The sequence below is a fragment of the Homo sapiens genome, chromosome 1 (assembly GCF_000001405.40).
Source record: "Homo sapiens chromosome 1, GRCh38.p14 Primary Assembly".
Classification (NCBI taxonomy): domain Eukaryota; kingdom Metazoa; phylum Chordata; class Mammalia; order Primates; family Hominidae; genus Homo; species Homo sapiens.
The window spans coordinates 117,511,502-117,535,075 of NC_000001.11; the positions used below are offsets into that span (position 1 = coordinate 117,511,502).

Genomic DNA, 23,574 nt, shown 5'->3' on the forward strand with positions numbered 1-23,574 from the left:
TTCCAGTAGAATGTAAGCCTCATAGCCGTAGGGACTTTTTCCTTTTAACTACTATGATCTCCCCAGCACCTAGCACATGAGGCACTCAGTAAATATGTATTGAATTTGTTGATAAATTTTTAGTCTGTTAGGCAAGAAAAGAACTTGGCTATTTGCATCTTTACTCTGATCCCTCTTTAGTTTTTAATTATATCATTTTATCAGTTGTGTTTAAGGCATTACCTGATCATCCTGTATACAATTTCAAATTGTTCCCTTACTCCCTCTTACTTTTCCCTGCTTTACTTTTCTTCATAGCACCTATCTTCCAACATAGCACATAATTTTCTTAAGCATTCCCCAATTAGAATATAAACTACATGAAGAGTTTACAGTATTTTTGTATATTTGGGTTATTGTTTTATCCGCAGTATCTACGGTAGGGCCACTCATATACTATGTATTTCAGTATTAAATGTTTGCTGAATAAAGGATTGAATCATTTCATTTCAAAGGAGACAGCTAAAAAACCCCAGCAATTTTATAAGATCTTGTATATAATAAGAGTAGGAGGGGGAAAGAGAAGAGAATAATAGACCTACTTTATTTCCTGGTTGGGGCTTAGAGCTTGATCTCAGAATTCACTTAGTTTTAGGAGGTGTCTGATAATGAGTCAAAGAATTGATAAAGCAAGAAGAAGGGACCCAAGGCAAAATGTGAAAGCTGAGGATGTCAGGGCTGCGGATTTGTTTTCAGTAGAGAGTCAAAGGTCCAGATGCCCACATAAAGGAGAAAAGCAGAAACAGTACCAACTAATTGTTGTTAGAAGTTACACAAAGTTGGTAACCTAGAAAAGTGGTTCTCAAACCTGAGTGTACATCAGAATCACCTGGAAGGCCTCTTAAAACATGGGATGCTGGGCTCTGTTGAGTTTCTGATAAATAGGTCTAGAGTGGGGCCTAAGAATTTGCGTTTTTAACAAGTTCCCAGGTGATGCTGATGCTGCTGGTCTGGGGGAATCACACTTTGATAACCACTGACATCTGTGACCCAGTAAAACACTTATGGAGACAATTAGGGATTAAGAAATTAACTATACTGGCAGAGAACCTAGCATAAAGTCAGGTGGGCAAGTCTTTGCTTAACTGCTGTATTTATGTAGTTCAGTCTCTTCAAATAGGTATACTGGAAGACCAGAACCGTGGTCTTTACATTTTTAAGTGCTTCCTATGTCCTAATACAATGCAATCTAAATATTAGGCACTGGGATACACACACACACACACACACACACACACACACACGTAGGAACACACAAAGTGAATTTCACTTCTACTATTTAATATAAGCATTTTTCCAGTTTCAAAAATTTAATCTTTGAAATATGCTTGCCAATTTCTTTTGCTACAGTAGAGGGAGCTACAACCCAAATTTTACTAATGTAGCAATACACAATAAGGCTATTCTTCTCCATCCTTGTTCATTAGTCTTTTTAAAAAAACTTTTAAAATCAGCTTTATTGAAATATGTTAAGTGTACAGTTTATTGCATTTTGGCAAATGTTTAAGCCTGGGTAAACATCAGCCTTACTTGATGCATGGAATATTTCCATTCTAATTTGGCAGTCAGTTCTACCCACCCCCAAACTCTAATCTGCTTTCTGTCACTATAGGTTGCTGCTTGTGAAATTTCATATAATTTGAATCATGCAGTATTAGGGAGGAGGTAAAGGATAATCATTGTTTAAGGGGTATAGAGTTTGAGTTTTACAAGGTAAACAATGTGAATATACTCAACACTACTGAACTGTACACTTTAAAATGGTTAAGGTGGTAAATTTTATGTTACGTGGCTTTCACCACAATAACGTTTATGTTTGGTTTTTTTTACATAATATTTTTTAGGTTAATCCATGTTGCATTTATCAATAGTTCATTCCTTTCTATTGATGAGTATTATGCTCTTGTTTGGATATACCACATTTTATTTGTCCATTCACTTTTTGATGGTCCGTTAATCATGTGTTTTTGAAAGGAATCAGAAAAAAAGAATTGTTTACCATTTGGCTACACTTAATCTTGCTCTTAATTTTTTCTTTCTAGTAATTTTCAAATTCATCCCTTAAAAGTAATTTCATCTAATTTACTATTATTAAATAAATATTATAAAATAATTTGCTATTTATTAAATAAAAATTCTAAATGTTTTTAATCTGGTGCTTCTAAAAGCAGAAATGTAGGAGCTAAAATTTGTGGCAACAGTTTTTCTCTCAAAACTCAGGTAAATATTGTTGCCTGCAGTTTATTGCCCTAAGTTTGTCTGGCTTTTTAAAAAATTTCATTGTCTTCTAGTTCTTCCTTTGCAAACAATTTTACTAAGCAAGTTATTCTTGATATTTAGTTTGGTTTGCTAACTTAGCTACTTTTTCTAAGGGAACATATTGTAGTATTGTAAAGAAAGCTAGTAATAAATGAATAGAGTAATAGATTTGTGATACCAACTTGATACCAATTTGTGATACCAGCTTACCTCTAGGAGGTAAGTATATGTGCACTTCACTGTAAAATTCTTCCAACATTTCTATGTTTGGAAGTTTTACAGGCTGGGCACAGTGGCTCATGCCTGTAATCCCAGCACTTTGGGAGGCCAAGGCGGGTGGATCACCTGAGTTCAGGAGTTCGAGACCAGCCTGGCCAACATGGTGAAACCCCGTCTCTACTAAAAATACAAAAATTAGCCGGGCATGGTGGTGCATGGCTGTAATCTCAGCTACTTAGGAGGCTGAGACAGGAGAATCACTTGAACCCGGGAGGCAGAGGTTGCAGTGAACCAAGATCATGCCACTGCACTCCAGCTGGGGGACACAGCAAGACTCCATCTCAAAAAAAAAAAAAAGAAGAAAAAGAAAGTTTTATAAAATACTGGGGGCCAAAGGGAGGGGAAAACTAGTAAATTATCCAGAATAGGTATTGGTACTGATGTTATTGTCGTATCCTCTCATAGTTTTAATTCTCTTTTTTACTGCTGTTGTTATCTTCATTTGCTTATGAAGTTATTCTCAGTATAAGCAAATGAATGCACAGTTAGCTAGCTATCAGACTATTAAAGCAAATTCCCTGAGCAAGGTTTTGAAGTAAGTTCAGAGACAACTCTGTTAGTGGCTTTGTCCATAAAACATCAATAGTAGTATGACTTTTAAATTTCTGAGCACAAGTGACTAAGTAATATATTTTGGAGAGAGAGAATCAGTGGGATCATTGTGGGTGAGGATTCTCAGATGAGGGGAAAAAACGGTTAGAGAAGACTGAAAAACAAAGCCACTATTTCCTTTGTTTATCTTTTATCTTGTCTGCAACTGGATCTTGAAGTTAGCCTCCTACCATGAGAGAACTGTTTTTCCAGCTGGATGAAAAGAGTAGCATCAAGTCCCCTATTCTGCTGTTTTCTGCTCACTTACTCCTGGAGACAAGCTAAGTCAAATCAATATGTACTTATAAGTACCTGCTTTCTCAGAGTTGTATTTGAGAATTAAAGTATATGAAATGTATACTCTACCCATAAATAGCTTGGAGTCTGGTTTAGAAATCTCTTACCTTTAGGCATGGACAAATTTAATAAAAGTACAAAGTATATATGCAGTTGGCCCTCCATGTCAATGGGTTCATGGATTCAACCAAACATGGATTGAAGATATAGTTTTTTAAAAATTACATCTGTTTTGAGCATGTATATACCTTTTTCTTGTCATTATTCCCTAGGCAATATAACAACTATTTACATAGATTTAAAGTATGTGGGAGCATATGCATTGGTTATATGAATATACTATACCATTTTATATCAAGGATTTGAGCATTCAAGGATTTTTGTATCTGCGAGAGGTCCTGGAACCAATCCCCCATAGATACTGAGGGACAACTGTATTCAGTGCTAAATAGAAAATAAATGTTTTAGAAATTCAGAGAAGGGAATTTTGGTGCAGGCCAGAGTAGTCATGAAGAAAGACTAAAATGATGCTGAATTAGTAAGATGTTAATAGGTGGGGTAAAACAGAAAGTAGCTTTGTGAAAAGAAGGATTCAGCCTGAAAAAATACCTTTAAAAAAACACTAAAGAAACTAGACCGACTAAAGTACATTCACTAGGAGAAGTAGTAGGAAATAAGAGCTCTAGAATCAAAATCAGGGAAGCAGCATGGATGACCCTTGAGGACATTATGCTAAGTGAAATAAGTCAGCCATAAAAAGACAAATATGGGGTGATTCCACTTCTATGAGGTCTCTAAAGTAGTCACATTTATGGAAACAAAGTAGAATGTTGGTTACCAGGGACCTGGGGAGGGGAATGGAAATGAGTTTTAGTTTTGCAAAGAACAGTGTGAATATACTTAATACTACTGAACTATACGCTGAAAAATGGTGAAGATGGTAAACTTTATGTCATGTGTTTATTACCACAATAAAAAAAATATAAGGAAAGCAATGGCATGCTAAAAAGGGAATTATAAGATAAAATGCAAAGCACTCATACTTTAACTCCAACCTCCTCTCCTCTAACCCCTTCAATCCAACTTTTCCCTTCTTTAAAATTATCTTTTTCCTATCCCACTGCTTCCCTCCATTATTCCTAAAATATTAATATTAATTGCAAAATCACATTTGAAATAGTATCTTGATATATAATTTATTTGGATTCTTGCAGTAATTTAAAATAACAGATTATATTCCAGGTAAACAAATATGGCTAAGATGAAACTAGAACCCCAAAGGAAGAAAAGTAACTGATTATTTTAAATTGCTACTACAAATGCAGTTGGATTGAAGAAAATATAGATGTATTTAATGTCCATTTTCACAAAATTCTAGGAAGTCATGGTATGAAGACAGAAAGGAACTAGTCATCATGAAGAATCAGAAAGGATTTCTAAGAACAAGTTCTTGCTGGACCATCTAATGTTCTTTTTGGATTGGATTAATAATAGACTTGAGAGTAGGGGATTCCATGAACATAATTACATGGCATTCAGCAAATTGTTTGACACAGTCTCTCACAATGGATGAGTGGAACTTCTGCTTACTCTAAAGATGGAACCAGATTTACCCTTCTGCCTGAAATAAATGACAAAATATATGTGAAATAATGGTTTTGAAACACCAGACAGGAGGCAATGAAGGACAGTAATCTCTGAGAAACAGGAAACAAATGAAGTAAGCCCTGTAATTGCCCCAGCTGTCTTGATAGAGTTTCCAGGACATGATACAGGGAGGGGACTTGAGACAAAGCCCAGCGTGCTCCCTGAGGAGATGAAGCTGTGAGTGTGGGGAAACTAAGGTAGCTAGAATTCACAGGACAGTACCAGAGAGAAGAGAGCTGCAGAGAGAAATAACCAAGGGAATGCACTGGAGTGTTCAGCAGAGTGCTGATCATCACATGCATGTGAAGAACCTACCTGAGGTGAGGGAAAGAATCATCCTAGAGGATTAAAGGCAGCAGTTTCTGGCACTCACACAGGGCCACATAGGGTTGCAGGAACAGTGCCTGTTACCAGCAACCAGACTGTAAAAATTCATATTCAAGTGGCACTGGGTAGAGTGAGTACTCAGGAAGGTCCTGCCTCAATAGTGGGGAATAACCTGCTGCTTTGGACCTATGTAGCAAATAATGAAAGCAAGACCTGAAAGGATCAGACTGTTTCTAAGTGATCTAACTACATCCCTGAACAAAACTCAAGGTTTATATAAAGGAATATAAAAATAACTACCACCCAACAAAGTAAAATCTGTAATGTCTAGCATCTTAGTCAAAGATTACCATGCATGCCAAGAGGCAGTACAATGTGATCAATAATTATGAAAATAAAACCAACTTAGAACTGATAAAGATGTTAGAATTAGTAGACAATGACAGTTAAAATATTTATGATAACTATGTTCCCTCTATTCAAAAAGTTGAGACCTAGAAGATATAAAAACCCAAATCAAATTTCTCTAAACAAAAACTGTAATGTTTCAGTTGAAAAATATACCAGATGAGATTATTAGCATGTTAGACATTGCAGAAGTAAAAATTAGTGAACTTGAAGACTTAGCAATGAAACTATCCAAAATGAAACAAGAGCAAAAAATAAGAATCTTATAAAAATAGAAAGTTGTCAGTGATGAGCTATGAGACAACTTACAGTGGCTTAAAATACATGAACTTAGAATCTCCAAAGAAGAGAACACAAGAAGGTGGACCCCCAAAAAAACCCTTTTTTTGAAGAAATAATGGCAAAAAACTTTCCAAACTTGATGTAAACTATTTACCCACAGGTCCAAGAAGCTAAACAAACTCCAAGCACAAGAAACATGAATGAAGAAAACTTTACCAAGACACCTTATAATCAGATTGCTCAAAACCAGGGGTAAAGAAAAAAATCTTTAAAGCAACAGAGGAGAAAGAAAAATTAGGTAAACAGGAACAAATATAAAAATGGCAGCAAGAATCAACCATGGAATTTTAAACCATCTGATATAGGAAATGGAAAGACTTAAAGTAATTTTACAGAGGATCTTTATATCATGACAGTTCATGAATTTCATAAAAATAAAAATATTTGCCACTGAAGATTGATCCAAATTCTGAAAAAGCAAGAGTTTACTATAAAACAAAGACAAAAACCTATTATAAAGAAGCTCGTCTGATTACCCAGTGAAAATGCATAATTTAAAAGAACTCAAAAAGTACCAACATGAACTATCTAAGAATAAAAGAAAACTTGTTATTTAGCAGCGCATATACTTTGGCAATGAATACTGGAGAAAAGATAAAACTATTTTTACTTTTCACATTATTCTTGGAAAATCACTGTTCAAATCCCTTTTATAAGTACATATTTACTAATAAAAACATGGTAACAGAAAGGGATGTAGTATATTTTAAATGGTGTATGTTTTCTTTTATGATGAAATGTTATGGATGGCCCACATCTTTTATGAGGTGAAACCATTTTGTAAAAATATTAGCGAAAGAAAGTGAAATTGATTTAAAAAAACAGTAAAGAAGAAAAAGTTTTTAAAAAGAATGATAGTTGCTTTAAACTTTAAAACAACAGCAATTAAAAGAGACAGAGGGACATTATATAATGATAAAAGGTCTTGTCCAACAGGAAAATATCACAGTCCTAAACATATATGCACCTAACACTGGAGCTCCCAAATTTATAAAACAATTACTGATAGACCTAAGAAATCAGATAGACAGCAACACAACAATAATGGAGGACTTCAGTACTCCACTGACAGCACTAGACAGGTCAACAAGACAGAAAGTCAACAAAGAAACAATGGATTTAAACTATACCCTGGAACAAATGGACTTAACAGATATATGCAGAACATTCCATCCAATAACCGCAGAATACACATTCTATTCAAGAGTGCATGGAACTTTCTCCAAGATAGACCATATGATAAGCCATAAAACAAGCCTTAATAAATTTAAGAATATTGAAATTCTGTCAAGCCCTCTCTCAGACCACAGTGGAATAAAACTGGAAAGCAACTCCAAAAGGAGCCTTCAAAACCATGCAAATACATAGAAATTAAATAACCTGTTCCTGAATGAGCATTGAGTCAAAAACGAAATCAAGATGAAAATTTAAAAATTCTTTGAATTGAACAGCAGTAGTGACACAACCTATCAAAACCTCTGGGATACAGCAAAGGCAGTGCTAAGAGGAAAGTTCACAGCCCTAAATGCCTACGTCAGAAAGACCGAAAGAGCACTAACTGACATTCTAAGATCACACCTCAAAGAACTAGAGAAACAAGAACAAACCATACTCAAACCTAGCAGAAGAAAGGAAATAACCAAGATCAGAGCAGAACTAAATGAAATTGAAACAAAAAAAATACAAAAGATGAATGAAACAAAAAGCTGGTTCTTTGAAAAGATAAAATTGATAGACCATTAGCAAGATTAACCAAGAAAAGAAAGAAAATTCAATTAACCTCATTAAGAAACAAAACAGGAGATATTACAGCTGACACCACTGAAATACAAAAGATCATTCAAGGCTACTGTGAACACCTTTACACACATAAACTAGAAAACCTAGAAGAGATGGATAAATTCATGGAAAAATACAGCCCTCCTAGCTTAAATCAGGGAGAAATAGATACCCTGAACAGACCAATAGAGAAGCAGCGAAATTGAAATGGTAATTTAACAATTACCAACAAAAAAAAGCCCAGGAACAGACGGATTCACAGCAGAATTCTATCAGACATTCTAAGAAGAATTGGTACCAATCCTTTTGACACTATTCCGCAAGACAGAGAAAGAAGTAACCCTCCCTAATTCATTCTATGAAGCCAGCATCGCCCTAATACCAAAACCAGGAAAGGACATACCCAAAAAAGAAAACTACAGACTGATATTCTTGATGAACCAGATGCCAAAATCCTTTACAAAATACTAGCTAACCGAATCCAACAACATATCAAAAAGATAATCCATCATAATCAAGTGGGTTTCATACAAGGGATGCAGGGATGGTTTAACATATGCAAGTCAATAAATGTGATATCCCACATAAACAGAACTAAAAATCACATGATCATCTCAATAGATTCAGAAAAAGCATTTGGCAAAATCCAGCATCCGTTTTATGATTAAAACTCTCAGCAAAATCGGCATACAAGGGACATACCTCAATGTAATAAAACCAACTGTGACAAACCCACAGCAAACATAATAGTGAATGGGGAACAGTTGAAAGCATTCCCTCTGAGAACTGGAACAAGACAAGGATGCCCACTCTCACCACTCCTCTTCAACTAGCACTGGAAGTCCTAGCCAGAGCAATCAGGCAAAAGAAAGAAAGGGCATCCAAATTAGTAAAGAGGAAGTCAAACTGTCAGTGTTTGCTGATGATATGATCATTTACCTTGAAAACCCTCAAGACTCCTCTAGAGAGCTCCTAGAACTGATAAAATAATTCAGCAAAGTTTCCAGATACAAAATTAATGTACACAAATCAATAGCTCTTCTATACAACAACAGCAACCAAGTGGAGAATCAAATCAAGAACTCAGCCGCTTTTACAATAACTGCAAAAAATAAAAATAAAACACTTAGGAATATACCTAACCAAGGAGGCAAAAGACCTTTACAAGGAAGACTACAAAACATGCTGAGAGAAGTCATAGATGACACAAACAGATGGAAACATCCCATGCTCATGAATGGGTAGAATGAATATTGTGAAAATGACCATACTGCCAAAAGCAATCTACAAATTCAATGCATTTCCTGTCAAAATACCACCATCATTCTTCACCGAACTAGAAAAAACATCCTAAAATTCATATGGAACAAAAAAAGAGCCTACATAGCCAAGGCAAGACTAAGCAAAAAGAACAAATCTGGAGGCATCACACTTCCTGATTTCAGACTATACCTCAGGCCATAGTCACCAAAACAGCATGATACTTGTATAAAAATAGGCACACAGACCAATGGAACAGAACAGAGAACCCAGAAATAAAGCCAAATAGTTACAGCCAACTGATCTTCGACAAAGCAAACAAACAAAGTGGGGTAAAGACACCCTTTTCAACAAACGGTGCTGTGATAATTGGCTAGCCACATGTAGAAGAATGAAACTGGATCCTCATCTTTCATCTTACACGAAAATCAACATAAGATGGATTAAGGACTTTCAGACCTGAAACTATAAAAATTCTAGAAGATAACATTGGAAAAACCCTTCTAGACATTGGCTTAGGCAAGGATTTCATGACCAAGAACCCAAAAGCAAATGCAACAAAAACAAAGATAAATAGCTGGGACTTAATTAAACCAAAGAGCTTTTGCATGGCAAAAGGAAGAGTCAGCAGAGTGAACAGACAACCCACAGAGTGGGAGAAGAAGATGTAAAAGTGGTCCACAAACATGAGAAAATGCTCAACATCACTAATGATCAGGGAAATGTAAATCAAAACCACATTGCGACACCACCTTACACCTGCAAGAATGGCCATAATCAAAAAATCAAAAAACACTATATGTGGGCGTGGATGCAGTGATCAGGGAACACTTCTGCACTGCTAGTGGGAACGTAAACTTACACAACCACTATGGAAAACAGTGTGGAGATTCCTTAAATCACTAAAAGTAGAACTACCATTTGATCCAGCAATCCCACTAGTGGGTATCTACCCACAGGAAAATAAGTCATTATACAAAAACGATTCGTGCACATGCATGTTTATAGCAGCACAGTTCACCATTGCAACCCAAATGCGTGGAACCAACCCAAATGCCCATTAATCAATGAGTGGATAAAGAAACTGTGGTATATTTATACGATGGACTACTACTCAGCTATAAAAAGGAACCAATTAACAGCATTTGCAGTGACCTGGATGAGATTGGAAACTATTATTCTAGGTGAAGTAAATCAGGAATGGAAAAACCAAGCATCGTATGTTCTCACTGATATGTGGGAGCTAAGCTATGAGGACACAAAGGTGTGAGAATGATACAGTGGACTTTGGGGAGTTTGGGGGAAGAGTGGGAGGGTGGCGAGGGATAAAACACTACAAATATGAGGCAGTATGTACTGCTTAGGTTATGGGTGCACCAAAATCTCTCAAATCACTGCTAAAGAACTTACTCATGTAACCAAATACCACCTGTACCCCAGTAACTTATGGAAAAAAATGAATGACAGCAGAGTCCTCATCAGAACCAATATTCCTCCTGAACATAGATAGAACTAAACAAGATTTTGACAAATCAACTCTAACAACAAATTACATAGATAATATGTTATGACTAAATGGGTTTATCCCAGGTGTGGAGGGTTGATTTAATGTTTGAAAATCAATGAACTAAAATAGACCACCTCAGTAGACAGAAAAATTATTTGGCAAAATCCAACACCCATTTCTGATAAAAACTCTCAGCAAACTGGGAATAGAAGGAAACTTCTTACCCTGATAAGGGCATATATGAAAAACCTACAGCTAACATCATATTGAAAAACTGAATGTGTTGCTCTTAAGATTAGGAACAAGACAAAGGTGTCTGCTCTCTTCACCACACCTGGCCGGATTTTTTTTTAAACTGTTTTATTTCAGTAGGTCTAGTTGTTCATCTTACTGGATTTCTTATACACTATTCTGAAACCTCTTGTCTTTGTGTTTAGATCATTTGGGTGTCTGAGGTTTATTTCTTTGATGTTTTTCATCAAAGCTGCTCAAAATACGTTATTGGTTTTCTGTGCCATTAAAAGTGAGCTCACTTCATGTTCTTGTTGAATTCTAACTGAAGCTCATTTCTCCCCTTTTTATTTTCAGATATTTGTATCTGCTGTTCTCCGGTGATGACCTTTTACCTTTAGACCACTGGGTGTTTAATACAGAGGCTCACCCTCTGCCTGTGTTACATTTAGCCAACACCACACTTTCAGGTAATCCTGCTGTTCGATGAAAGCAGTTCCAGAAGGACCATTCTCACCTGTGTTTTGTTTACATGGACCACTACAGAAATTAGTTTGAAGGGGCGGCTTTTGAAAACCTGGACCTCTATGTCAACATGACAGGGTGAAACTATTCCCCCTAAGACTGTTCAACTTGTAGATACATCAACTTTGAAATTATTCCATTTTATACCTGACCAAAACATGTTCTGATATGTGTAGGACAGAGACCTGGATGTGCTTTGATCGTTAATGAGGTGGTCACATGAGAAATGATACCTGTTACTACTGTATTGTTTTTAGAGTCCTGAAGTCTGGAGGCTAGACTTCCTGAAAGCAAGTCAAGAATATAGAGCACCTTGCAGGAGTTCAAGATGGCCTTTGGAACCAATTATGTATTTGTTTCCTCCTACAGTGGAGCAGCATTCAAATCAAATATTTACATATTGCTTATCACTTTTTCTCCATTTTAATAATGGAATGAACTAAAATAAACAAGAACAAAAGAATAGTATAATTATATCAGTAACAAGAAGACTCAAAAAAGAAACAGGAGTACCTATCCCTATCTGAATTTTCAAGTTCCCCATTGGATGACCAGACTGGCAACCATTTCAAATCCCAGTCTATTTCATTGAAATTTCTTGGTTAAGTTTAATTTTCTCTGGGGGCATGATCTCACAAAGAATACTCAAGTCTTTTTCTTCTTATGGAATCATCGAAACTGCTATTTATCATAATCACCACTTATGAGCCTGGGTTTGGGATTTTGTGCATGTAGTTCAGTCTAGTGTTGGTAGCATGACAGAAAGTGGGGAAAATGCCGCAGTTTGTTGCCTTGAAACCTAAGAGCAATCCTTGGTTTTGTTGCTACATTATTTTTCCAGACCAACACATCTACCAAGTAAATTTTATTCACTTTAATTTCATAATAAAGTTAGTAGAGTCACTCAACTTACAACTTTATTTATGTGGCTTGGCAAAAATCACTATAAGGCAGCTCTAAATTTGCCTTGATAAGCTAAATAAATTACTTTTATAACTTACTAAAGCAGAACAAACAGTGAAACTTTCTAAAATATTCTATCTGGAATAGGGACAGGGGATCTTTTATTTATAATCTCATCAGATGAGTGAGTTGTTCACAGATATTTTATGTTTTTTTAATTTTCTCCAAGAATATTTATAGAATTCCAAAGAATCAGAATAGTTTCAAAATAATTTTCAGTGATAAAAGAGTGTTGTAATTAATCATATTACACTAAAATTGGGATACATCTAAGGAACTTTATCTTACTATCAGTAGGTTTTGCATTGATATTTCTTTTTAAATAAACTACTAGTTCTTTATATTTTGACAAAAAGAACTTAAATTTTATCAGGAACTGTAAGATAAATATCTAGTGCTTATAAATTTTCTGTCCTTAAATTTATGTGACAGTGCAAGATACTTTTGCTCTTTTCATTTAATATAGGCATCTTCCATTGACATTAATAAAACTTAGAAACAGTATAATTAGTATAACATTTACTCTGAATTTGAAGATTTCCTGAAACAAAGTTTGTACAAGAAGCCCACCTTGGAATTCTGAAGGCTTATTTTCTTGTTTGATAAGCTTTTCTTTTAAACTTAGGTTTTAAGTTGGGGAAAGACTTAATTAACTAATATAGTATTTTCTAAGGTTGATCATCTTATACCACGAATCGTTAATTTTGACAGTTCTACTGATCCGTAAATGATAACCACTGCAAATTTTTTCAGTATAAAATTTTTCACTGCAAAAAAATTTCAGTAGAAAATAAGGATGCAGGGCCAGTTACAATAGTCCTTAAGAGAGTTAAATTATAGCACATGTTTTGACATTGTAATATCTTTTACTACTTGAACATTTAAATTTCTAAATGAGAAAGGTATATATATTACTGTAACTGTAGAAGGGAAAAGGGAAAGTATTTGGTTCTAAAAAATGTTAGCCTTCCTCGTAAAAGTAGCACAAGCCCACTTATGAATCACTGAGAAAAAGTGAAAAACTTGAGTTGGCAAAGATGCAGAGCAGCAGTGCAGATGGCAATGAACTCTCTGAATTCTCTTTTACCTTATTTAGAAGAATGCAGAGTAAAGGGACCTTCTTGGTTCTGCAGGAACTTCTCAAGGGATGAGGAGACAGAACCCCTACTTCCAAGTGCTCTATTTGTATTACCCAGATGACTGAAGCTTAAGAGAAGGCAGGGAAGTATACAAGCAGAGCCAGTTCTGGTACAAACAAAGAATTTGACAGGGACAATGGAAGGGTCTTCTTCACCACTCCTTACCTTCTATGTGATGGAAAGACTAGAGCTTATAAAAGTACTTCCATTTTTTTATTCTCCTGAATACCAAAGGCAATTAAAGTCAGCTACAAATGACTTGCCAGTGTCATGTTTTATTTTTGTTATAGATTTTTAAATTATTTCCTTCAAGATCAATTCTTATCCCATATAATGCTTAGCTTCCAAGAATATTCTTTACTTTCTTCTGTCTTTTACAGCTCTTTGCATTTTGTAGACCTTAATACTCAGGTTAAATATTCATTGCATTTATAAGATCTTCTGCAAAAAGCCCAGAAATGGTCCTTTTCAGGTGCCTCTTCAAAGAGCTGACACCTTACCTTGTGCCTTTGGCACAAATGTGCAGAATAGATACATCAGTTGGTGCATAATCGAAAAAAATAGGAATTTTGAACACTGTTCTTCCTTCTACATTTATTTCTCTTCATTTTAGAATCACACTTTTTATGTTAAACCAGATTATTATTATTATTATTATTCAACCAGTATTAAGTTGTTAAAACCAAGGGAATGGGGCCCTAACCAAAAAGAAGTCTCAACTCAGAAAAATAAGTCCCCAGTCAGGTGGTTCTTACTTTCTTGTGGGTTGCACATTTTGTATCTCTCTAACATCAGCGTATTCCTGACTTTAAGCAGGTGTTTATATGTAAAATAAAACCTGGGTATCGAAGGGAAATGCATTCTTTTTATGGAGTATTGACCCTGATCCTCTATGATGTCATATAGAGCAACTCAGGGCTATACTTGCTAGATTTTAACCAAGCAGTTTGAAATATTAATCATCATCCTCTCATCTTCTCCACTCTCCATTGCCAAAGTCTTTGTCAAAACTCCAAATTTGTTGATAAAAGATTGTGTTTGCCATTCTCATTTATAATGCAGTTTCTCCTTAAGCCTGGAGTTTTTTGAATGAGTGCATGAGTAAATGAGAGAATGTGTGAACGAACATTTATGAAGTATCTAACATGTGCCAAGCATTGTGCCTGGCACTTTCAATCATTAGAATGTTTTATGTGATTCCACAGCATTTTCTGTATGAGAGTAGCTCACAACATTTTAAATGTTTCCAATATGAATCGTGTTACAAAATTCTTAATTTTATATTTCATATAAATTAAAGAGGAAAAAGAAAAGGTTTATAATATATTTTAAAACAATGTGTTACTGTATAATACAACTATAATTGTAGTTAATAACTAAAACCTCTTGAAAATGTCAAAGAAATACTTGATTTCTGATGCAACTTTGACTAAAATATTTACTTTAGAAATAAAAACGTTCTTATTTTGCTATATCACTTTAATTGCATAATTAAAAAGCAGTGTTTTATAGAAATGCTGGTTATTTTATATTCAAAAAGATTTTGTCACATAATTCATGGGTAAAACTTGCAGTTGTAAATTGTGTCTGCTCTGGTATGGGCCCTATTAATAGTCCCATGCTGTTAAATATAAAGAAAAATATACTAAAATATTCAAAGTTCCAAATAACAGTTCCTAGTAATAGTATTTTGAGTTATTTTTCTTTAGGTTTCCTTATACTCAAATTGGCTAGGTCCTATCTTTTCCTCTCTCTCTCTCTCTCTCTCTCTCTCTCTCTCTCTCTCTATATATATATATATATATATATATATATGAGAGATATATGAGATATATGAGAGATCAAGATCTATATATGTATATAAATACAATTATACACAGATAATTTTTAATACTCTTTGTTAACAAACACAGTTGAAAACTGGTTTCGGCTGCACAAATAAGCAGAATATTTGAGTAACTATATATGATATGGAGATATTTTAATCCATTTATCCTGGCTCAAGAACACTGATAAAGATGATTTTCTGTTACTTTAGCTCATTCAGATCAGGATGGACATGCTCTTTTTGATCTATAACTGTTCAGCCAGCTTCCAGATAATATTTTAGGCTATGAGAGCTATACAGTCTCTCTTATTACTCATTTCTGCTGTTGAAGTATCGAAAACAGATAGAGATACTATGTAAAGAATGGGCGTAGCTATGTTCCAGGAAAACTTTATTTACAAAAGCAGATGGAGGGCTGGATTTGGTCCATGGGTCATAGTTAGTGACCCTGATCCCAAGTTTATTTTGTGTTAGACCCTCTAACCTTTGATCTGCGTCTTTTCTGTTTTGATTTACATAATTCATTTTTAAATCAAAAAGATGTGCGTATATATGGTTGTGTGTATCTGTATAACCTAAAGCTATAATATTTTGTTGTCTTGAAAGCAGATACACTCTTCCTGGAGTCTGTTCAGGTTTCAGGACGATTGACTATAATGAAAGAGACAGAATAGGGTAAGGGAAGATGGGTATGCTATCAGCCATTTTCTTTGCCTTGTCATTTAATGCCATAATTTCAGATTCTCTATGTAAAAAGAAGGTCTGTGTATTGTCAAAATAATATACTCTCCAAGTTCTCCTGCTCATTGACCCTTGAACCAGGATTCTGGATTGCTAGAGCTGCAGAAATTCACCCACTTGGGTACTCTTAGAGCTCTACAGCAAGAATATGATAGAATGTCTGATCTTTGTGCTGCAGAAAGCAAACTTTTGAAGAATTCTAAGCAACAGAAAATGGGTTATGTGACTCATCTGCTATTTGGCAGCCACTATTCCTTTTTTAGACTGCAGAACGGTACTGCCCCTGTTACCTCTAGAATAGCCTGAGTCTGAGGAGTGCAGAGAAAAGATATATCCAAAAGGAGAATCCCTTTCTCTTGCATAACTCTCAATCCTTTACAAGTAAGTAGCATTATTTCAGAATGTCTATATGCATCATTTTCAACTAAAGCATACCTCATCCTTAAACTTCCACTATTTAACAGCTAATCCATTTCAAACTTGGTTTGAGCCTAGCAATTGCAGAACTCATAAAATTGCTTGTGAAATTACACACCATATTACTAGCATATACATTGCAGTGCTCCAATCATGCTAACAGATAATAGATTTTTCTTTAAGAATTTTATCAAATATTTCACTATTTGGGGAAATTTTAGAGGAGGGGAAGCCTGTATTCAGGATGATAGAGGGAGCAGAGACTTACTGTCTCTCTTCCACATTATAAATGAACTGCCTTTCCAGGTCCAACATGCTGTCAGGTTGCTTCAGCTCGGTGTGAATGTAAGTGTGGGGATCAAACACACACACCTATACACATACATATTAATATGCAGAGGATTTTAAATAATTGCAAATGTCTTGTGGCTGTTTTATTTCTACAAAATTCTGTAAGATGTATACCAGAAAACATAATAAAGATAAGCTCAGTTCTTCATTGGGAAAAAATATTTTTAAAGAAAATTTAGAAGTTTTTGCTGAATTAAAGTATCTTCAATTTTAATTACTGGATTTGGAAGTTGAAATGCCATCCTTCAATATCACTGGTCTCAAATTCATTGATAGAATTTTTTCTTAAACTAATAAGTGGGGTAAGTATAATCTCCTAAATTGGTACCCACTGGCTGCTCCTAAACTGGTTTCCAGTCATGTCCTCCAGTATGTGATTTTTATAAATTAAAGGTAATATTGTATATTAAAGTTCAAATAAAGATGTTCTTTAAGTGAAAATTCTTTGTTTAGCCTTCATTTTTACCCGCTGATGACAGTTCAGTTTCTTCCTATGTACAGAAGAGCAACGTTGGCTTTTACAGTAACTGGTGGTCTTCAGTCTCTCATTCAGAGAGTATTTCTTTTGGATCAGCTAATCTTTACATTCTTGATGTTATAGAAAGATGAAGAGCTTGCTTAGAGAGTCGTATTTTATTCCAACTGATTTTGAGAAAACAAACCATAGACTTATGTGACAACCTTATAGTATTACTGTGATGTTATCTCTAAGACCTAGTCCAGTTCAGCCTCTGAGATCATTAAGCTTAAAGACTGCCTCAGTCACTGGACCTCATTCTGTCACACTAAAATCTGACCTGACCCTTCTTAAGTGATTTTTGGGCAAATATAGGCCCAAAAGCCTTCAGCAATAGTATCAGCTGGACTATAGATAGTGGTTTAGTCTGTCAATACTGTAAAAGTAAAGGATATTTAAAACCCCTTACCCGGGGAGCATCAAATAAGGTAGTGGTAAAAACCTTCTGAAATAACAGCTAGTTTACATCCTTGATTTCTTAATTCTTCCTGGCACAGTGGATTTCAACTTGATCAAAATTTTAGACTTAAGAAATTACATTGTGGATGTATCAAAATTAATTGCAGACATATTTTCTGGAACAACTAAAACAGGACCAGAAAAAATTAAAAAAATAAGGAGCTCTAAGTGACTATAATTTGATAAAATCTGGGCTTCTCTTTGTTTGCCAGATAACTGAAATATCCATCTTTATTTCATTGGATTGCAAAGGAACTGTCATTATGCAAATAATGCTCAGAATGGTTCAGATAGTGAGTGAGCCTGCACCCTTACTTCTTGGTTGACCTAACAAGTTTCTTTTATTTTTATTGTAAAATATATCTAACATAAAATTTGCTATTTTAACCATTTAAATGTACAATCTGATGTCATTAATAATTACATCAGCAATGTTGTGCAACATATTGCCACTACCTATTTCTAGATTTTTCACCATTCCAAACAGAAACTCTGTAACCATTAAGCAATAACTCCCCAGTGCTCCCTTTCCTCCCCCAACTTCTGGTGTATTAGTCGGTTCTCACACTGCTAATAAAGACATACTCGAGAATGGGTAATTTATAAAGAAAAAGAAGTTTAATGGACTCACAGTTCCACATGGATGGGAAGGCCTCACATGGTAGAAGGCGAAGGAGCAAAGGCATGTCTTACATGGCAGCAGGCAAGAGAGCTTGTGTAGGGGAACTGCCCTTTATAAAACCATCAGATTTCATGAGACTTATTCACTATCACAAGAACAGCAGGGGAAAAAGCCCACCCCCATGATTCAATTACCTCCCACCAAGTCCCTCCCACAGCATGTGGGGATTATGGGAGCTACAGTTCAAGATGAGATTCAGGTGGGGACACAGCAAACCATATTACCTGGTAACCTTGAATCTACTTTCTAAGACAAATTTCTTAACCCTACTAAATCTCAATTTTCTTGCCTCTAAAAGAAGGATAATACAGGATTTCTAGGATAATTAAATGAGAAAAATCCAGGCACCTAGCCCAAATTTAGCTTAAAGCTTTAGTTGTTTTTACGTATTTTTGTTAGCAGATTGCAGTAATCATTTCTAAAGGAACAGAAAAAAAATAATAAGGGCAATTAAAACAGGGCAGTGAAGAGCCAATGAAACATCTAATTATACCTTCTCATTTTAGGCACAAGGAAAGTGAAACCCAAAAGGGAGGGTAAAATGAAGGCAAGTCTTCCAGTGTTATCCTTCATGGTTCTATGAAATAAGACGTGTATTTTTGTTGTGGTTATAAAAAAAAGTTTAATATGCAAATACATCAATAATGCATGTGAACCAAGCACTTTAAAAACTATAGCAGAAGTCACTTTTTGTTGGATACACAGCAAAAATATATACAAAAAGTTAATAGCAGTTATCTTTATATCATAAGGACATAACAATTTCTTGCAATTTCCTTAACTTTTAAAAGAAACTTTTACTGAGGTATGATTTACATAAAATATTCCCACTCTTAAGTGTATGATTTAATGATTTTTTAGTAAGTTTATAAAACTGTACAACCATCCCACAATACACAAAGATCCCATGTATTGATTTGCAGTCAATCTCCATTTCCATCCCAGCCACTGGTAACCACTGGTCTACTTTCTGTCTCTGTAGATCTGCCTTTTAACTGGACATTTTATATTATGAAATCATACAGTATGTGGTCTTTTGCATCTGGCTTCTTTAACCTAGCATAATGTTTTGCATTTAAGGTTTGTCAATGCTATAGCAACTGTCAAGAGTTATTCCTTTTTACTGCTAAATGAATTTCATTGTATGGATATACCATATTTATCCATTCACTAATTGATAGACATTTGAATTGTTTCCAGTTTTTGGTTATTATGAATGATGCTGTTAAGAATATTTGCATACAAGTCTTTGGGTGGATATATGTCTTCATTTCTCAAGTATATACCTAAGAGTGGAATTTCTGAGTCATATGGTAAAGTTATGTATAACTTCTCAAGAAATTACCACACTGTCTTCCATAGTACTGCTTTTACATTCTCACTAGCAATGTATGATGGCAAGGGTACCAGTTTCTCCACATCTCCACTAATACTTGTTATTGTCTTTTTATTATCTGTCTTTTTTATTATAGCCATTTTAATGGGTGTGAAGTTGTATCTCATTGTGGCTTTAATTTATGTTGCTCAAATGACTAATGGTGTTGACTGTCTGTGATAGTAGCTGTTCATGCCTTTGGTAAAATGTTTATTCCAATATTTTGCCCATTTTAAAAATTGAATTGTCTTATTGAGTTGTAAGAGTTCTTTATATATTCTATATCTATTTTCTCTAAGATTGTGGTTTGTCTTTTCAATTTTTTATTCATGTTTTTGACATGCAAAAAATTTTAATTTTAATGAAGCGCAGTTTATCAATGTTGTCTTCTATGGATTGTGCTTTCTTTCCTAATCCAAAGTCACTAAGAGTTTAGACCTAATTTTTTTTCTAAAAGTTTTATAGTTTTAGCTTTTACATTTAGGTCTATGATTCATTTTGAGTTAATTCCTCATGTATATGAAGGGTCTAACAATGTTTTGTGCATGAATACCCAGTTATCTCAGTATTTATTGAAAAGACTATCCCTTTCCTATAAATTGCTTTGGCACCTTTGTGAAATATCAACTGACATTAATTTCTGGACTCTTAATTTTATCCCATTGATATATGTCTTTTCTTATCCCAGTATCACACTATGTGATAACTAGCATTAGAGCAGTAGTTCTCAGCCAGGGGGTGACTTTGCCCTTCCTCCCTTCAGGGACATTTGGCAATGTCTGGAAACATTTTTGATTGTCATGACTGGGGGTAGGGGGTGATTCTGGCATCTAGTGGGGTAGAATTCAGGTACTTCTTTTTCCTGAAAGTAGGCCACTGTTTCCTGTTTCTTTGCATATCTTGTAATTTTTTGTTGAAAACTGGACATTTTAGATAACATTATTGTAGAACTCTGGGTTCTGATCTCATCTCTGTGACCCAGGGAGGTGGTAGTTGTTGCAACTGCTGTTCTCTTTGTTTAGTGATTGGTGTAGACTAATTCTTTGGAGGCTCTTTTCCCCATGTTGCACAGTCATTGATGTCTTTGCTTAGTTTTGTATTTCTAAAATCTTGTTTATATTTTTTAAGCCTGGCTTCCTAGGAGTCAGCCCTCTGTCAGTATAGTTTAGTGGTCAACAAGTGATTTGTCAGAGGTTGTACCCAAATACCTTTGACTAGGAAGGGCTTCTGCGTGTTGTCAGTGGATCCGTGTGTAAGCTGGAGAACACATTCAAAGTTTATGCAGTTTACAAGTCTTCCCAGCTTTTACTTCACCCAAGGCCTTATGTCTAAGGTCTCACATTTAGTCAGGAATGTTCAGAGGTAGCTAGGGCTTTCTCTGGTTTCTCTTAAATTGTGCTCAACCTTGCTCTTGCGTTCATCCTTCCATGCCACCAGAGATGTGTGGCAAGTACACTATGGCTGTTTCATTCCGTGAATCTCCCTGTTAGTTTCTGGCTTGTCTGTCAATCTCTTGCTTGCCCCAACCAGAACCTCAGGCTAACTGCACTGGCCTTTCCTATTCATTTGCTACTGAGATTCCTTTCATTTCTAACAATGCCCAGGAGCACGGAGTTTTTCTGCATTCTACTCCAAATCAGGTAACCCTCACAGCCTGTCCTGCCCTGATAGAGCTGCCATGCTGATGGAGCTGGAAGGGGATGAGAGCAGCTCTGGGCTAAAACATCACAGACACACTGTTCTTTCCTGGTTCAGGAGTTTTTCTTGGATAAATACTTCTCATTTTGTTGTATGCCTTTGGTCAATTTCCAGAATCCTGAATGGTTCGAGTTTTTTAATTGTCCATTTTATTCCTTTTGAGGGAAATGATTTGCTGAGCTTCTCACTCTGCCATTTGCCATTCCAGAAATGAATAGATAGATGTGTATATAGATACCTTTATTCATATTCTTTATAAGTTCCTCTACAAATTTCAGCCTTTATTTTTATTTTTGAGACAGAGTTTTGTTCTTGTTGCCCAGGCTGGAGTGCAATGGCGCGATCTTGGCTCACCGCAACCTCCACCTCCCAGGTTCGAGCAATTCTGCCTCAGCCTCCTGAGTAGCTGGGATTACAGGCATGCACCACCACAGCTGGCTAATTTTGCACTTTTAGTAGAGACAGGGTTTCTCCATGTTGGTCAGGCTGGTCTCGAACTCCCGACCTTAGGTGATCCGCCCACCTCGGCCTCCCAAAGTGCTGGGATTACCGCCCACCTCGGCCTCCCAAAGTGCTGGGATTACAGCAGTGAGGCACTGTGACCGGCCTATTTTCAGCCTTCTTAAAGCTTTACTCTTCCCATCTGAAAGGCCTTTATCCAATTCCAGCAAAGCCCTGCACATCTTTCCTATTCTCACAAGACTAAAAGCTTTCACAGAACCTTTCCTGATTTCCCAAACTTTGAGTGATTCTTCCATGTTTGTACATCCATAGTTAGTTCATAACTTCTACAACTCTTCACATTCTGCCTTATAATAATCATTTGTGGACATGTCTTTACCTCTTCTATTAGGTTATCAGGTGCTTAAGGATGTAGACAGTATCCTAGTCATCTTTTTATTCCTCTTGACAACAAATTTACTGAATAAACACCCTAGTTCTCAGAGGCCGATACTCTTTCCACCAGGCCAGGCTGCCTCATTTAAGGGTGATTGTAGTCCATTACTCTTGATTCTGAGTTTTCTATCAATAAAAGCTTTATCAAAACCATACACACTAAGAAAAGTCTACGCCTTATAAAAAAGATGGCACGTATTGCTTTCTTTTTCTGCAAATGTAGAAAATACACAGCAAACAATGATTCACAGAGTGTCGGGAGGGCCTAGTGTCAGGGATCCTTAATTAGTAAGGAATCCAAAATTGTAGTCCTTGGTCTTCCCCTGACTGGTTGTAAGGCCTTAGGCAAGTTATTCAACTTCTCTGGACCTCAGTTTATTTTCTGTAAAACGGAACTGGACTAGAACATTGGAATGTAATTCATGAGATCATTAATATAGTTATTCCACACATTTTTTGAGCTTTCACCTACTGTTTGCCAGAAGCTTTCATAGGCTTCAAAATATATATAGAAATCAAAATAAAATCTGTACCCTCAAACAGGACTGGCTTGCTTAATATTGTGGCTTTCAGTATTATATGGGTAGAGTACGATCCTAATCAAGCTTAACATAGATTCGGGAGGGAGGAGGATAATGAGGAAAGTAACTGACACTGGAACTGAATTTTAAGAGTTAATTGAATTTGAAAACAAGGGGAAAGGGAGCTATTTGATAAGGCAAAGATACTTGACGAAGGGGCCAGGACTATGAGATCCAAAGCACAGGTAGGAAGATTGGCCTTGAACTTGAACAAGGACATCCATTTTACTGAGAGCTATAAGACAGCCCTCTCCTGTAGCTCTTAAAGGCCTTGAGTGGGGGTCCAACAGGGGCACCTACCAAGATCCCCAAGAGTGATTCTCCCTTTTAAATTCAGCGTTCAGTCCTCCCCCAGTACCAAAGAGCCCATAAGATGCAAAAGTGAATGTTACTTAAAAAGAGGTTAAGGGACTCCCCTGGGAATAGCTTTCAAAA

General features: G+C 35.7%; 1 protein-coding gene across 3 annotated transcripts in view; it reads left to right on the forward strand.

The window, feature by feature from the left end:
* The window catches only part of MAN1A2 (mannosidase alpha class 1A member 2), a 161,424-nt gene extending 144,053 nt beyond the window's left edge, over window positions 1-17,371 (forward strand). The window contains exons 13-14 of one of the 3 annotated variants that reach the window (XM_006710302.4): window positions 11,324-11,436; window positions 11,749-17,371. In XM_006710302.4, the coding sequence (XP_006710365.1) occupies window positions 11,324-11,436; window positions 11,749-11,756 (121 nt within the window). In that variant the 3' untranslated portion in view covers window positions 11,757-17,371. Of the gene's footprint in view, window positions 1-3,347; window positions 6,881-11,323 lie in introns of those variants that run through there. The other 2 variants (NM_006699.5, XM_011540536.4) reach the window with 2 other exon arrangements.